The 15668-nt window shown below is 43.3% G+C and overlaps 1 protein-coding gene and 1 non-coding gene across 2 annotated transcripts in view; both read right to left on the bottom strand.

Moving 5' to 3' along the window:
* Nucleotides 1-15668, bottom strand: part of AMD1 (adenosylmethionine decarboxylase 1) — an 81097-nt gene that overhangs the window by 41699 nt on the left and 23730 nt on the right. The window lies entirely within an intron of this gene.
* On the bottom strand, nucleotides 5342-5469 carry SNORA40C (small nucleolar RNA, H/ACA box 40C). The gene has a single exon (NR_145728.1). It is a non-coding gene; the product is annotated as a small nucleolar RNA, H/ACA box 40C (small nucleolar RNA).

Genomic DNA, 15668 nt, shown 5'->3' with positions numbered 1-15668 from the left:
AAGTTCCACCGTCTCAGAACAGGCTTCCCAACAAGAGCTGGGAGAGCAGGGCAGGGAAATGTTGCTAAGTGACATAGGGTTTAGTCGTGCGATGGAGTATTAGAGGACACTTGACATTGAGCCTTGTGCTACTTCACAGCCATTCCACAATATAATGGAAGAGCTGCAATATTATGTAGATAATGGAGGATTGTAGACAGAGTGGCAAAATAGAGAATTCCTAGCTTCAACTGTTAGTTCTGAAAGGTCAGGTAGTTTAAGAATGATGTGTTTAGGCTGGGCGCAGTTGCTCACACCTGTAAGCTGAGCACTTTGGGAGGCTGAGGTGAGAGGATCGCTTGAGATGAGGAGTTCAAGACCAGCCTGGCCAACGTGGTGAAACCCTATCTCTACTAAAAATACAAAAATGGCCAGGTGCGGTGGCTCACGCCTGTAATCCCAGCCCTTTGGGAGGCCGAGGCAGGCGGATCATGAGGTCAAGAGATCCAGACCATTCTGGTCAACATGGTGAAACCCTGTCTCTACTAAAAAATACAAAAATTAGCTGGGCATGGTGGCTCGCGCCTGTAGTCCCAGCTACTCAGGAGGCTGAGGCAGGAGGGTCGCTTGAACCCGGGAAGTGGAGGTTGCAGTGAGCTGAGATCACGCTACTGCACTCCAGCCTGGGCAACAGACCGAGATTCCGTCTCAAAAAAAAAAAAACAAAAAACCCACAAACCCCAAAATTCGCTGAACATGGTAGTACACACCTGTAGTCTCAGCTATTCAGGAGGCTGACGCAGGAGAATTGCTCGAACCCTAGACGTGGAGGTTGCAGGGAGCCAAGATGACACCACTGCGCTCCAGCCGGAGTGACAGAGTGAGACTCTGTCTCAAAAAAAAAGAAAAAAAGAAAGAAAAGAAAAAATAGAAATGCTGTTGTATGCAGGCATACCTCAAATATATTGCAGAGTCAATTTCAGACCACTCCACAATAAAATGAATATTGCAATAAAGTGAGTCACACACACTAAAAAAAAAAAAAAAAAAAAAGTGCTTAATTAGCCAATGATGCAAGTTCAAAAAAAAGGGAAAGACTGATATGGCTGCTTATATCTCTAAAGTTTTCATGTTAGTTCCTTCCGCACCCCAGAATAATCTTAGGTTTAGAACTACTTAATTAACTAATTAATGAATTAAAATGTTTGTTCATTCAGAAAAATATTCATTGACTACCTATAAGGTAGAGTGTTGGGTCAAAGTATGAAAATTGACTCTTACGCTGATATTGTGAGGTTTGCATAAGAAGTTTGTTGTAAAAATGGAAAAGTATGGAGACCAAAGACAGCAATTCTTTGTATTGATTATTGTTTTATTTTATTTCTAAGACAAGGCAAGAGAATGTGCCTTTATTAGATATGACTATGGGTTCCAAAACTGATGTTTCCCAGTTGTTGAAGGAGGTGACCAGGAAGTCTTAACATGAATAGCTACATAATATTAAGAATTCATTATGGGCCAGGTGCAGTGGCTCACGCCTGTAATCCCAGCACTTTAAGAGGCTGAGATGGGTGGATCCTGAGGTCAGGAGTTCGAGAACAGCCTGGGCAACAAGGTGAAACCCTGTATCTACTAAAATACAAAAAATTAGCCGGACTTGGTGGCGTGTGCCTGTAGTTGTAGCTACTCGGGAGACTGAGGCAGGAGAATTGCTTGAACCCAGGAGGCAGAGGTTGCAGTGAGCCAAGATCGTGCCACTGCACTCCAGCCTGGGCGACAGAGAGAGACTCCTTCTCAAAAAAAAAAAAAAAAAAAAAAAAAAAAAAAAAAAAAAATTAGCCAGGCGTGGAGGTGCATGCCTATAGTCAGTAGGGAGGATCACCTGAGGCTGGGAGGTTGAGGATGCAGTGAGCCATGTTCCCACAACTGCACTCCAGCCTGGGTAACAAAGAGAGACTCTTTCTCAAAAAAAAAAAAAACAAAAAAATCTCGTTATGTTACAGAAGATTGCTAGAGTTCTGTTTTAAACCAAAGCTCTTGATTTTACTTTAAATAATTCAATTTATGCACATTTTAAAAAGCGTATTGTTAAGGTGAGCTGCACTTGTTACTTATTTTTTGCATATTCATTCACTATTCTGTGTCTAGGATATCCTTTATTTTTCTCCTGGCAAATAATGTGTCTAAGATAAATGAACAATGATCTTTATTAAGCACTTAATTTATACAAGCTGGGGTGATGTTAAACACTATGTGATTAGAACCAATTTTGAGGGCCAGGTGCAGTGGCTCACACTTGTAATCCCAGCATTTTGGGAGGCCAACGTGGGCAAATCGCTTGAGGTCAGGAGTTTGAGACCAGCCTGACCAACATGGAGAAACCCTGTCTCTACTAAAAATATAAAATTAGCTGGGCATGGTGGTGCATGCCTGTAATCCCAGCCACTCAGGAGGCTGAGTCAGGAGAATCGCTTGAACCCAGGAGGTGGAGGTTGCCGTGGGTGGAGATTGTGCCAATGGACTCCAGCCTGGGCGACAGAGTAACATTCCATATCAAAACGACAACAACAACAACAATGAAAACAACAACAAAAACAAACAAAAAACCCCACAACTTTTCAAAAAAGTACTTATGGCTTGGCATGGTGGCTCACACCTGTAATCCCAATATTTTGGGAGGTCAAGGCAGGGCGATTGCTTGAGCCCAAGAGTTCAAGACCTGCCTGGGCAACACAATGAGACCCCTTCTTTATTAAAAAATAAAAGAAAAGGCCGGGCGTGGTGGCTCATGCCTGTAATCTCAGCACTTTGGGAGGCCAAGGCAGATGGATCACCTGAGGTCAGGAGTTCAAGACCACCCTGGCCAACATGCTGAAACCTCGTCTCTACTAAAAAAATACAAAAATTAGCCGAGCATGGTGGCACATGCCTGTAGTCCCAGCTACTCGGGAAGCTGAGGCAGGAGAATTGCTTGAACCCGGGAGGTGGAGGTTGCAGTGAACCAAGATTGCACCACTGCACTCCAGCCTGGGCGACAGAGCTGGACTCCATCTCAAAAAATAAAATAAAATAACTTCTAAATATTATATAACCTTTTATTAGTTATAATGATCATATATTACCTCTGTATTTCAAAAATCATTTCTGAGTATTTAAATAATTAATCTCAAATAGAACTAGAACCAAGATGCCTTCTTTCCAAGTAATCACCACGCTCAGTCCTCAGTCTAGGCTTCAGTGAACTAATCAAGCAAATACTTAGAGCTACCTCCAGCTGCTCTGCTTTGAACATTAAACTCAGAATCTCTAGTCAAAGCCTTGTATTGGTAAAATTTGCCCAATTCAGTGTTACATTGCGTATTCCTTTAACACTTCAATGCATTCCCACAAATTTCCTAGGTTCCTATTAATAACAACTTGCAAGATTTTGCAATTATTTTGGTATGTAAAGCCTTATCTACTTGGAACACATATTTTAATTTTCTCCCCAAGGCACTCTGGGAGTGAACTGGTTTATGGAGGCAGGCAGGGATGGTTGGGGTGGGTCTTCAGGAGAACAGGCATCCTCTTGCAAGGTTACTGCCTTTGGAAAGGTTTAAACAGAGAAACCAGTTTTCTGAGACAGTGAAGGAGTTCTGTTTTCACCGGCAAGGGAGGGTCAAGGGAATTTGGGGGTATAAGATTCCCAGCTTCGCCTGAGTCCCCCCAAATATTCCCAACGTCTAAGAGTTTACCTCCTTCCCAATACCCTCATCTTAACATGAAAGACTTGATGAAGTTGTATGTTATGTTTTAATTCTATAATCTGCAAAATTAAATTTGGAGCTTTGTCTGTCAGGAAGTTGCAGGAAATCAGTTCTTTTTTTTAGTTTAATTTTATTGTAAATTAATGATTTATGGTTGTATATATGAAGAGATCGGCTCTTTTAACGTTATTGTGGAACTTCTCTGGGTCTCTATTCTTTGAACTGAGAGTTCAACTCCCTGTCATTTTCTTATTCTTTTTTTTTTTTTGACAGTGTTTTGCTCTGTCACCAGGCTAAAGTTCAGTGGCAAGATCACAGCTCACTGCAGCCTCAATCTCCCAGGCTCAAGAGATTCCCCGCCCCCCACCTCAGTTTCCCAAGTAGCTGGGACTACAGGTGCACCACCATGCCTGGCTAATATTTTAAATTTTTTGTAGAGATAGGGTCTTGCCATGTTGCTCAGGCTGGTCTTGAACTCACGGGCTCAAGCAATCTTCTTGCCTTGGCCTCCCAAAGTGCTAGGATTACAGGCGTTAGCCACTATGTTTGGCAACATTTTCTTATTCTTACTGAAATATTCTTCTATTCTCCAGTGCTCCTAGAAGAAATCATCTTGTCTTTTTGTTTGTTTGTTTTAGAAACAGTGTAAAGAGGTTTTTTTAAAAAAAATTGTGTAAATGTAACATTAGGCTAAATTATTTAAAGTCAATAAATCTTTATTCAAGGAATTCCATGTTGTGATTTGTTCCACTGTCCATCAAGGTGACTTTAGATCCTCTAAAGAGCTGGATTCAAAAGATTGATCTTCAAGTTAGCCCTTTTTAATGAAACTAATGCTAATTTTAATTCAGTTGTCCTGTCAGCCCATAATTCTTTTATTTTGGTTTCTGTCATCTTTTAATATGGATATACTGATGAAGACTTCAAAATTCACCAAGAATCTTTGGGATCTAATTTCTTCAGCCAATTTAAAGTCCTTTTTACTGTAGGTGGTGGATCTGCCTGGTTCTCAATTTGACACCCTCTCTTAACATGAATGAGTTCAAATCATATTTATTCCTAAGCGATCACACTCAAGAATAGTACAGATGTGTGGAATACGCCAATACCTTTAACTCCAGATACCATGTTCTCAAGATAAAAGCCTTTAAAACAAAAAGTCATTGTCTGTATCACGTCAACATGAAATTGGAATGCAAAATTAATACTGCTGAGGATTTCCCTCATATCCCATGCTGTTTAACTATCTCTTCTACAGTTCTAGAATCAATCATTTTTTATTAAGAGACAGGGTCTGTCTTTGTTACGCAGGCTGGAGTACAGTGGTGCCATCAAGGCTCAGTGCAGCCACCAACTCCTGGCTCAATCCTCTTGCCTTAGCCTCCCCTTCCTGAGTAGCTGCAACTACAGGTACATGCCCCAATATCCAGCTAATTTTTAAATTTTTGTGGAGATGAGGTGTTTGTTACGTTCTTGCCCAGGCTCGTCTTGAACTCCTGGCTTCAAGCAATACTCCCACTTTGGTGTGGAGATTGCAGGCTTTAGCCACTGTGCCTGGCCTGGGACCAACCTTTATGGCTATCAATACTCCATCAGTTAACTGTCTCAGGTATCATAGTATCCATTCTGATATGTATCAAAACTCATACTGAACAATGAGTTCTGGGTTGCAAAAGAAGATTTATTTTTTGCACCTTTCCTAAAGTCTTTGTCCACAAGTTAAACAAAAACATACATAAGTGCAGTTTTGTTGTTGTTGTTGTTTTTTGCTAACACGGAGTCTCACTCTGTCACCCAAGCTGGAGTGCAGTGGCATCATAGCTCACTGCAACCTCCGCCTCCTAGGTTCAACTGATTCTCCTGCCTCAGCCTTCCGAATAGCTGGGATTACAGGTGCTTGCCATCACACATGGCTAATTTTTGTATTTTTAGTAGAGACAGTGTTTCACCATGTTGGCCAGGCTGGTCTCAAACCCCTGACCTCAAGTGACTCGCCTGCCTCAGCCTCCCAAAGTGCTGGGATTATAGGCATGAGCCACCGAGCCCAGCTGAAATCATCTTGTCTTTGGCTATCTTTATTATCACATTAGACAAGTTCTTGAATTCTCAAAGCCTTGTCCTTTTCAAGCTCTTCATTCCAAACAAACACAGCTCATATTTTCAGGAATCATAATGTCATCATCCCATGATGTAATGGTTACTTGTGTTGACTTCACAAGGCTATAGTACCCAGTTAATCAAAAACTAATTTAGGTGTGGCTAGAAGGAAATTTGCTGGCCGGGTGCGGTGGCTCATGCCTGTAATCCCAGCACTTTGGGAGGCTGAGGCAGGCGGATCACAAGGTCAGGAGTTTGAGGCCAGCCTGGCCAACATGGTGAAACCCTGTCTCTACTAAAAAAAAATACAAAAATTAGCTGGGCATGGTGGTGTGCACCTGTAATCCCAGCTACTCAGGAGGCTAAGGCAGGAGAATTGCTCGAGCCGGGGAGGTGGAGGTTGCAGTGAGCCAAGATTGTGCCACTGCACTCCAGCCTAGGTGACAGAGCAAGACTTCATCTCAAAAAAACAAAAAACAAAAAACAAAAAACAAAAACAAAGGAAATTCGCTGAAGGAATTTTGTAGATAGGATAAGCATCTACAGTTGACTTTAAGTAAAGGAGATTATCATCCATTAATTATCTGGGTGGACCTTATTCAATCAGTTAAATAGCCTAAGAGCAAAATGGAAGTTTCCCTAAGAAAGAAGAAATTCTTTTTTTTTTTGAGACGGAGTCTCGCTCTGTCACCCAGGCTGGAGTGCAGTGGCGCGATCTCGGCTCACTGCAAGCTCCGTCTCCCGGGTTCACGCCATTCTCCTGCCTCAGCCTCCCGAGTAGCTGAGACTACAGGCACCCACCACCATGCCCGGCTAATTTTTTCTATTTTTAGTAGAGACGGGGTTTCACCGTGTTAGCCAGGATGGTCTCAATCTCCTGACCTTGTGATCCGCCTGCCTCGGCCTCCCAAAGTGCTGGGATTACAGGCGTGAGCCACTGTGCCCGGTCTTTAGAAAGAAGAAATTCTAACCTTGGGCTACAGTTTTAGCTTCTGCCTGAGTTTCCAGCCTAAGAGCCTGCCCAAGATTTCAGACTTGCTTAGCCAGCCCCCACAATTATGAAAGGTAACAAACAATTCCTTGCAATAAATTTATAAATTTATACACACACACACACACACACACACACCACACACACACACACACACACTCTCCTAGTTCTTTTTCTGGTAGAATCCTAATTGATATGCATGCCATGCATTCAGAGATAGCTACATAATTTGCTTGGTGCATTGCAAAGTGAAAAATGTAAGGACCTTGTATAAAAAGCAGAAAAAAATGCAATTAAGATACTAAAATATAAAGCATTGTTCTTTTTTTTTTGAGACAGAGTCTTGCTCTGTTGCCCAGGCTGGAGTGCAGTGGCGCGATCTCAGCTCACTGTGACCTCTGCCTACTGAGTTCAAGCAATCCTCCTGCCTCAGCCTCCCAAGTAGCTGGGACTACAGGCACACGCCACCACACCCACCTAGTTTTTGTATTTTTAGTAGAGACGAGCTTTCACCATTTTGGCCTGGCTGGTCTTGAACTCCTGACCTTGTGATCCACCTGCCTCAGGCTCCCAAAGTGCTGGGATTACAGGTGTGAGCCACCACCTGCCACACCAAGCCAACTTGAGATAATTTTTCTAAAAAGATTTAACTGTACATTTACATCATTTCATGTAAGTCTGAATTTAATCGTAAATGTTAATTTATACAATGGCATTTAATGTTTCCTCTGATAGTTTCTGTAACTTGTAGATGTCAGTCATATAAGAAATTAAAAGTGGCTTCATGTATATAATTCAGGATAGCTATTTATGCATTCTACTGTATATTCAATTAAAAGGAAAAAATTAATTTTAGATTTGTCTTCCTCATTAATGTTTTTTTCACCTGAGTTCCACATGAAAAGTGTTCTTTTCTGTTAAATGTGACAATCTTTAAATTCAGTTTTTGTTGTTGTTGTTGTTGTTTGAGACAGTCACACTGTCACCCAGGCTGGAGTGCAGTGGCGCGATCTCAGCTCACTGAAACCTCTGCCTCCTAGGTTCAAGTGATTCTCCTACCTCAGCCTCCCAAGTAGCTGGGATTACATGCGTGCACCACCACACCGGCTAATTTTTGTATTTTTAGTAGAGACGGGGTTTCACCATGTTGGCCAGGCTGGTCTCGAACATCTGACCTTGTGATCCACCCTCCTTGGCCTCCCAAAGTGCTGGGATTACAGGCGTGAGCCATCACGCCCGGCCTAAAATCTGTTTTTATTTGTATGCCTGTGAATATTTTCTTTGAAATGTTGCAGCAGGTTTCAAAACTGGTGTATTAGTCAAGGTTCTCTATAGGGACAGAACTAATAGGATAAATGTATATATGAATAGGAGTTTATTAAGGAGTATTGACTCACACGATCACAAGGCGAAGTCCCACAGTAGGCTGTCTGCAAGCTGAGGAGCAAAGAAGCCCATCCGAGTCCCAAAACCTGAAAAGTATGGAAGCCGACAGTGCAGCCTTCTGTCTCTGGCCTAAGGCCTGAGAACCCCTGGCAAATCGCTGGTATAAGTCCAAGAGCTTAAATAGAGAAAATTATTAGGAGTTTAATGACCCAACAGCAGGGTATTAAACTCAGTATGAGTCCCTTTTGAGACTAAGGCCTGGCCTGTATGCCCATGAAGCCAGCCCTGCATGAATTGCTAATATACTCATTTCACCATGTTTATGCTATGTTAGGTAAGCAACTCAATCTCCAAATTCCCTTTTTGATAGTCTGCTTACTATGTAATTGAGTCATGGGAGCAGATCTCTCATGAATGGTCTAGCACCATTCCCTTAGTGATAGGCAAGTTCTGGTTGTTTAAACGTCTGTGGCACCGGGCCAGGTGTGGTGGCTCATGTCTGTAATCCCAACACTTTGAGAAGCCAAGACAGGTGGGTCGGTTGAGGTCAGGAGTTGGAGACCAGCCTGGCCAACATGGTGAAACCCCGTCTCTACTAAAAATACAAAAATTAGCCGGGCGTGGTGGCTCACGCCTGTAATCTCAGCTACTTGGGAGGCTGAGGCAGGAGATCTCTTGAACCTGGGAGGCAGAAGTTGCAGTGAGCTGAGATCATGCCATTGCACTCCAGCCTGGGCGACAGAGTGAGACACCATATCAAAAAAAAAAAAAAAAAAAGGTCTGTGGCACCTCCCTCCTCACTGTCTCGTGCTTGCGCTTGCTTTCTCTCTCTCTCTCTCCATGTGATTTGCTGGCTTCCCATTTCACCTTCTGTGATGATTAGAAGCTTCGTGAGGCTCACCAGAAGCAGATGCAGGCACCACATTTCTTGTACTGTCTGCAGAACCTTGAGACAATGAAACATCTTTTCTTTATAAATTACCCAGCCTCAGGTATTTCTTTTTTCTTTCTTTCTTTCTTTCTTTTTTTTTTCTGAAATGCAGTTTTGCTCTTGTTGCCCAGGGTGGAGTGCAATGGTGTGATCTTGGCCTACTGCAACCTCTGCCTCCCGGGTTCAAGCCATTCTCCTGCCTCAGCCTCCTGAGTAGGTGGGATTACAGGCGCCTGCCACCACACCCGGCTAATTTTTTGTGTTTTTAGTAGAGATGGGGTTTCACCGTGTTAGCCACGATGGTCTCGATCTCCTGACCTCGTGATCCGCCCACCTCAGCCTCCCAAAGTGCTGGGATTACAGGCGTGAGCCACCACACCCAGCCCAGAAGAAGCCTTCATCTAGATATCATAAAAATACTAAACTTGGCCAGGCAAGGCGGCTCATGCCTATAATCCCAGCACTTTAGGAGGCCAAGGCGGGAGGATCACCTGAGGTCAGGAGTTTGAGACCAGCGAGACCAACATGACAAAACCCCGTCTCTACTAAAAATACAAAAACTAGCCAGGCATTGTGGCACATGCCTGTAATCCCAGCTACTCAGTCAAAAAAAAAAAAAGATTATAATTCTCTTTCTTTCTTTCTTTCTTTTTTTTTGAAGTAGGGACAGGATCTTGCTATGTTGGCTACACTGGTCTCAACCTCCTGGGCTCAAGTGATCCAACTTGGCCTCCTAAAGTGCTGGGATTACAGGCGTGAGCCACTGCACCTGGGATTCTTGTATAGGTGGATTACTGCTTATAGGAGGCAGGATAATGAATCCTTAAACATATCAATGTCCTAATCTTCAGAATCTGTAAATGTTAGGTTACATAGCTAAGGAGGATTTAGATTGCAGATGGAACTAAGAATGCTAATCAGCTGATTTTAGGGAGATTATCCTAGATTATCTGGGGAGGCCCAATATAATCCCAAAGGTCCTTAAAAGTGGAAAAGGGGCCGAGCTCCGTGGCTCACACCTGTAATCGCAACACTTTGGGAGGCCTAGGCAGGCAGATCGCTTGAGCTCATGAGTTTGAGACCAGCATGGCAACATGGCAAGACCCCACCGGTACAAAAAAAACTACAAAAATTAGCCAGGTGTGGTGGTGCACGCCTGTAGTCTGCTACTCAGGAAGCTGAGGTGGAAGGATCCACCTGAGCCCAGTAGGTGGAGGCTACAGTGAGCCAAGATGGCGCCACTGCACTCCAGCCTGGGTAATAGTGAGACCCTGTCTCAAAATAAATGAATAAATAAATATATTAAACATATTTATTTTATATTCTGTATCTAAAATTCTAGCATCTGAAGTTTTTGAGGCTGCTTCCAACTCATAGTACTTTATTTTCTTGTGTGTTTTTTGACTTTTTTTTTTTTTTCAAGATGGAGTTTCACTCTTATCGCCCAGGCTGGAGTGCAGTGGGGCCATCTCAGCTCACTACAACCTCTGCCTCCTCGGTTCTAGCGATTCTCCTGCCTCAGCCTCCCGTGTAGCTGGGATTATAGGCCTGCACCACTGCGCCCAGCTAATTTTTTTGTATTTTTAGTAGAGGTGGGTTTCTCCATGTTGGCCAGGCTAGTCTCCAACTTCTGACCTCAGGGGATCCGCCCGCCCAGGCCTTCCAAAGTGCTGCGATTTCAGGCGTGAACCACCATACCCCAGCCATTTTTTGACTTTTGACTAAAAGCATATGTTTTTTAGACTTTTTTTTGAGAGGGAGTCTCGCTTTGTCGCCCAGGCTGGAGTGCAGTGGCCCGATCTCGGCTCACTGCAACCTCTACCTCCCAGGTACAAGCAATTCTCCTGCCTCAGCCTCCCGAGTAGCTGGGACTACAGGTGCCCACCACCATGCCCGGCTAATTTTTGTATTTTTAGTAGAGACGGGGTTTCATGATATTGTCCAGGCTGGTCTCGAACTCCTGACCTTGTGATCCATCCCCCTCGGCCTCCCAAATTGCTGGGATTACAGGTGTGAACCACCACACCTGGTGGTTTTTTGACTTTTGACTAAAAGTTTTGGTTCAATATCTGTGGGAATTGTTTGAGGTCTAGGTTGAAGGGTGTTCTTCCAGAGAGGATTTTCTTTTCCTTATACTAGCTGTCTAGGGCACTACCAACCTAAGACCAACTTAATTTTCATCATAAAGTGTTTGGGACCACATAGACATTAAAAACTATGAAGGGTCTGAGATTCTACTCTGCCATGGTTAGCCTGCCACAGTTGCTTGAATGTTGGCAGAAAACGACTACTACTACTATTACTGCTAAGCTACTCTTTGGTCAGAGACAAATGACAGTTTATTACTCAAAGCAATAGCAGTAGTCAGAGTGTCAGCATTTGTGTTGGTTCTCCAAGTCCCAAACACAAAGTGGGGCAGGTGACATCTGTATATGCAGAGGGTTGTGTTATAGGAAAGGATCCCCAAATTTAGAGAACAAGAATGTTTTATAATGGACATTAAGCCTGCTGCCTTTTTCTCCCCAGCATAGATAGTCATTATCCCTGTCTTCCAATGCTGTAAGCATATCTGCCCCCTGGTCTGGAGGGATATACCATCTTTATCTTCCAAGCCTGCTTGCTATACAACTTGGTAAAAACATAGTGTGGAACAAAGGCAGTTAGTACTGCTGCTCACCAGATGGGCAGAAATGTGAGAGACTCATGAACACTCTCTTGTCTCCTATCAATAGGTAGTTTGAGTCTGGGCTATGAACCCAGGCTTGTATTTAAGCAAATGTTTTGCCGGGCTAGATGGCTCATGCATATAATCCCAGCACTTTGGGAGGCTGAGGCGGGAGGATCACTTGAGGTTAGAATTTCGAGACCAGCCTGGCCAACATGGTGAAAACCCATCTCTACTACAAATGCAAAAATTAGCCAGGCGTGGTGGTGCACACCTGTAGTCCCAGCTACCTGGGAGGCCGAGGCAGGAGAATTGCTCAATCCCAGGAGGCAGAGGTTGCAATGAGTTGAGATCATGCCACTGCACTCCAGCCTGGGGAACAGAGTGAGTCTCCATCTAAAAAATAAATAAATAAATAAATAAATAAAATAAAACAAATGTTTCATGTATTCTATCCAGCATTTTAATTTTCCTTTTTTTTTTTTTTAATGGGGGCATGGGAAGTTTATTCTTTGTATCTAACACACCTGAATAAAGGAGGGAAGCAATTTTTATCCCTTACGCAGCTTGTCCCTGCTACTGTGTCTTGCCTCCATTGGCTGGAGCCAGACCGCACAATCTAAACTTAACTCGACTGGCCAGAAATTTAAAATTTTCTTAAATAGGTAGAGGCAATGGAGAACAAAGGAAAAGAGGAAGTTGCTTACGAAAAGATTTAGAAAAGTAATAAAAATTCCCAAATAAGGAAGGGGCATAGGCTGCGAGCTGGGACATGCCCGTGAGCAAGCCCAGCACAGACATCTTGGTTAAAGTACAAGGACATTGAATGTACTTATTCCCTTATATCTAACAGCTACATAGGTTAGGGCTTAACAAAGAATTATTAGCACAAAGCAAGGAGGCTTGAAGGAAGTTAGTCTTTAAAAGAAACTATCATTTATAACACTTAAGATTTATTATTTAACAAGAAGGGAAACTTTGAAGAGGAACTTTTTACTTTCTATAGTGGAGAAACCCCATCTCTACTAAAAATACAAAATTAGCTAGGCATGGTGGCAGATGCCTGTAATCCCAGCTACTTGGGAGGCTAAGGTAGGAGAATCGCTTGAACCCAGGAGGTGGAGGTTGCGGTGAGCTGAGATCGTGCCATTGCACTCCAGCCTGGGCAATAAGAGTGAAACTCTGTCTCAAAAAATAAAAAAGTAGGATTCTTATTTTGCAGGATTGTTAAGGGAATAAAAGGAAACATTATAAAAGAGTGCCTATGACAGTGCCTGTGGTATAATGATGTATAATAGATATTGGTTTTTATCCCACAGTCCCTGGTTCATAACTCCCATATTCCTTGTTATAGTTTTTGTTATAATGCTGAGTGTGTTGGGCAGGCCTCAGGAAATGGAATCTCTCTGCCCTCCTGCCCTCCTTTCACTTGCCCCCTGAAGTGGGACTCTAATCTTCCCCCACCCCCCCAACCCTTTCTGACTGTGGGTCTTAAGACCCTCACCAGAGAGGGCCCTGCTCTATACCCTGGGAGAGTGAATACTGACATCATGAATTTTCCATAAAAACCCGAGAGGACTGGTTTCCTAGAGCTTCCCAGAGCTGAACTCCTGAATGTTCCTGAAGGGTGGCAGGCCTAGGGTGAACATGGAAGCTCTGAGCCCCTTCCCCCACACCTCGCCCTATGCATCTCTTCATCTGTATCTTTTGGAATATCCTATATTTTATAATAAACTGGTAAACGTAAGTGTTCTGTGAGCTGCTCCAGCAAATTCATTGAACCCAAAGAGTGGGTTGTTGGAACCCCACCTTGAAGCCAGTCGATCAGAAGTTCCAAAGGCCTGGACTTGGGACTGGTTTGTGAAGGGGGTGGTGGTCTTGGGGACTGAGCCCCCAACCCCTGGGATCTGACACTATCTCCAGGTAGACAGTGTCGGAATTGAATTGGAGGACACCCAACTGGTTAATAAAATAAAATTGCCAAGAAAAAAGCAAATGTAACTCTGGAACTATGAACAACTTAGAGAATCCTGAGAACGGCCAGGTCGGTGGCTCACACCTGTAATCCCAGCTACTCAGGAGGCTGAGGCAGGAGATCACTTGAACCCAGGAGGTGGAGGTTGCAGTGAGCCGAGATCGCACCATTGCACTTCAGACTGGATAACAAGAGGGAAACTCCATCTCAAAAAAAAAAAAAAAAAAAAAAGAGAGAGAATCCTGAGAACTTACTTCCCGTGTATAACAGCCTTATATGGGGGTGATATTAATTAATCCCAAAGCAGGCACATTTTTATGGAAATGTCCCAGTTAACTGAAAAACCTCATTTCCCAGCCATGTTGGCTAAGTACATTCTTTTCCGAACCTGATAGCCTCCTTGATAAAGAACAAAAGGTTGAACAGCCCTCAGCATTTATTCAGGTGGCTCACAATAGCCTAAGCTCCAATTATAATTGTCTTCCTGCATTTCAGCCACTCTGGCAGCATGGTAGATTAGATACAAGGAATAAACTTCCCATGCCCCCACTAAAAAAAAGGAAAATTAAAATACTGGATAGAATACATAAAACATTTGTTTATTTTATTTATTTATTTATTTTTTAGATTGAGGCTCACTCTGTTCCCCAGGCTGGAGTGCAGTGGCATGATCTCGACTGACTGCAACCTCTGCCTCCTGGGATTGAGCGATTCTCCTGCCTCGGCCTCCCAGGTAGCTGGGACTACAGGTTCACACCACTACACCTGGCTAATTTTTGCATTTGTAGTAGAGACAGGTTTTCACCATGCTTAGTTTATGGGGAAAAGCACCTACACCTTTGGTCAGAAACGTGTGTTATTGTGGTATGAGAGTAAAGAAAAAACATGGATTGAAGGTTTTTCTTAAGCAATGCCTATCACATAGTAGGTAGGCAATAAATGTTAGTTGACTTTCTTTTCCCTTTTCACTCCTTGCCTAGAGAGAATAACTTTTTTTCCTATCATTCAGTGTGTAGAAAACAGTGTTTTATAAATCCATGAGAAATGTCAGATATTAACATGGTTAACATTTGCACATGAATAGAAAAGATACAAATCATAAGTTTCCTTGAAGGATGAAACACAGTTTATAATACTAGAGATATACAAAAAAAGTTTAAATTAAAACAGAAGTTAGGGGCCAGGCGCGGTGGCTCATGCCTGTAATCCCAGCACTTTGGGAGGCTGAGGCTCGTGGATCACCCGAGGTCAAGAATTTGAGACCAGCCTGGCCGACATGCTGAAACCCCATCTCTACTAAAATACAAAATTATCTGGCTGTGGTGGCAAGCGCCTATAATCCCAGCTACTTGGGAGGCTGAGGCAGGAGAATCCCTTGAACCCAGTAGACGGAGGTTTTGCTGTTTCACTCAGGCTGGAGTGCAATGATGCGACCTCAGCTCACTGCAACCTCAGCCCTCCAGGTTTAAGCGATTCTCCTGCCTCAGCCTCTCGAGTTGCTCGGATTACATGCACCTGCCACCATGCCAGACCAATTTTTGTATTTTCAGTAGAGTCAGGGTTTCACCATGTTGGCCAGGGTGGTCTGAAACTCCTGACCTCAGGTGACCCACCCACCTCGGCCTCCCAAAGTGCCAGGATTACAGGCGTGACCCACTGCTCCCCGCTGGAAAGTAGTTGTTAACATAATAAAAATACAACTTTTAAGAGGTCCCTGGTGCTTCATACTAGCAGACCTAATATAGATGGAAAAGAGGTTGATTTGTTTTCTTCTTCTTTCATTGCTAAAACCCAGAGTTTGATAAGCTCTATGGAAGTGGATTATCTCTAATTCTTAAAAACTTTTGGTTTTTTTTTTGAGATGGAGTCTCACTCTTGCCCAAGCTGGAATGCAGTGG

This window comes from Homo sapiens, chromosome 6, assembly GCF_000001405.40.
Source record: "Homo sapiens chromosome 6, GRCh38.p14 Primary Assembly".
Classification (NCBI taxonomy): domain Eukaryota; kingdom Metazoa; phylum Chordata; class Mammalia; order Primates; family Hominidae; genus Homo; species Homo sapiens.
Note: the sequence above shows the minus strand (reverse complement) of the source record. Positions and strands in the feature narration are given on the sequence as shown.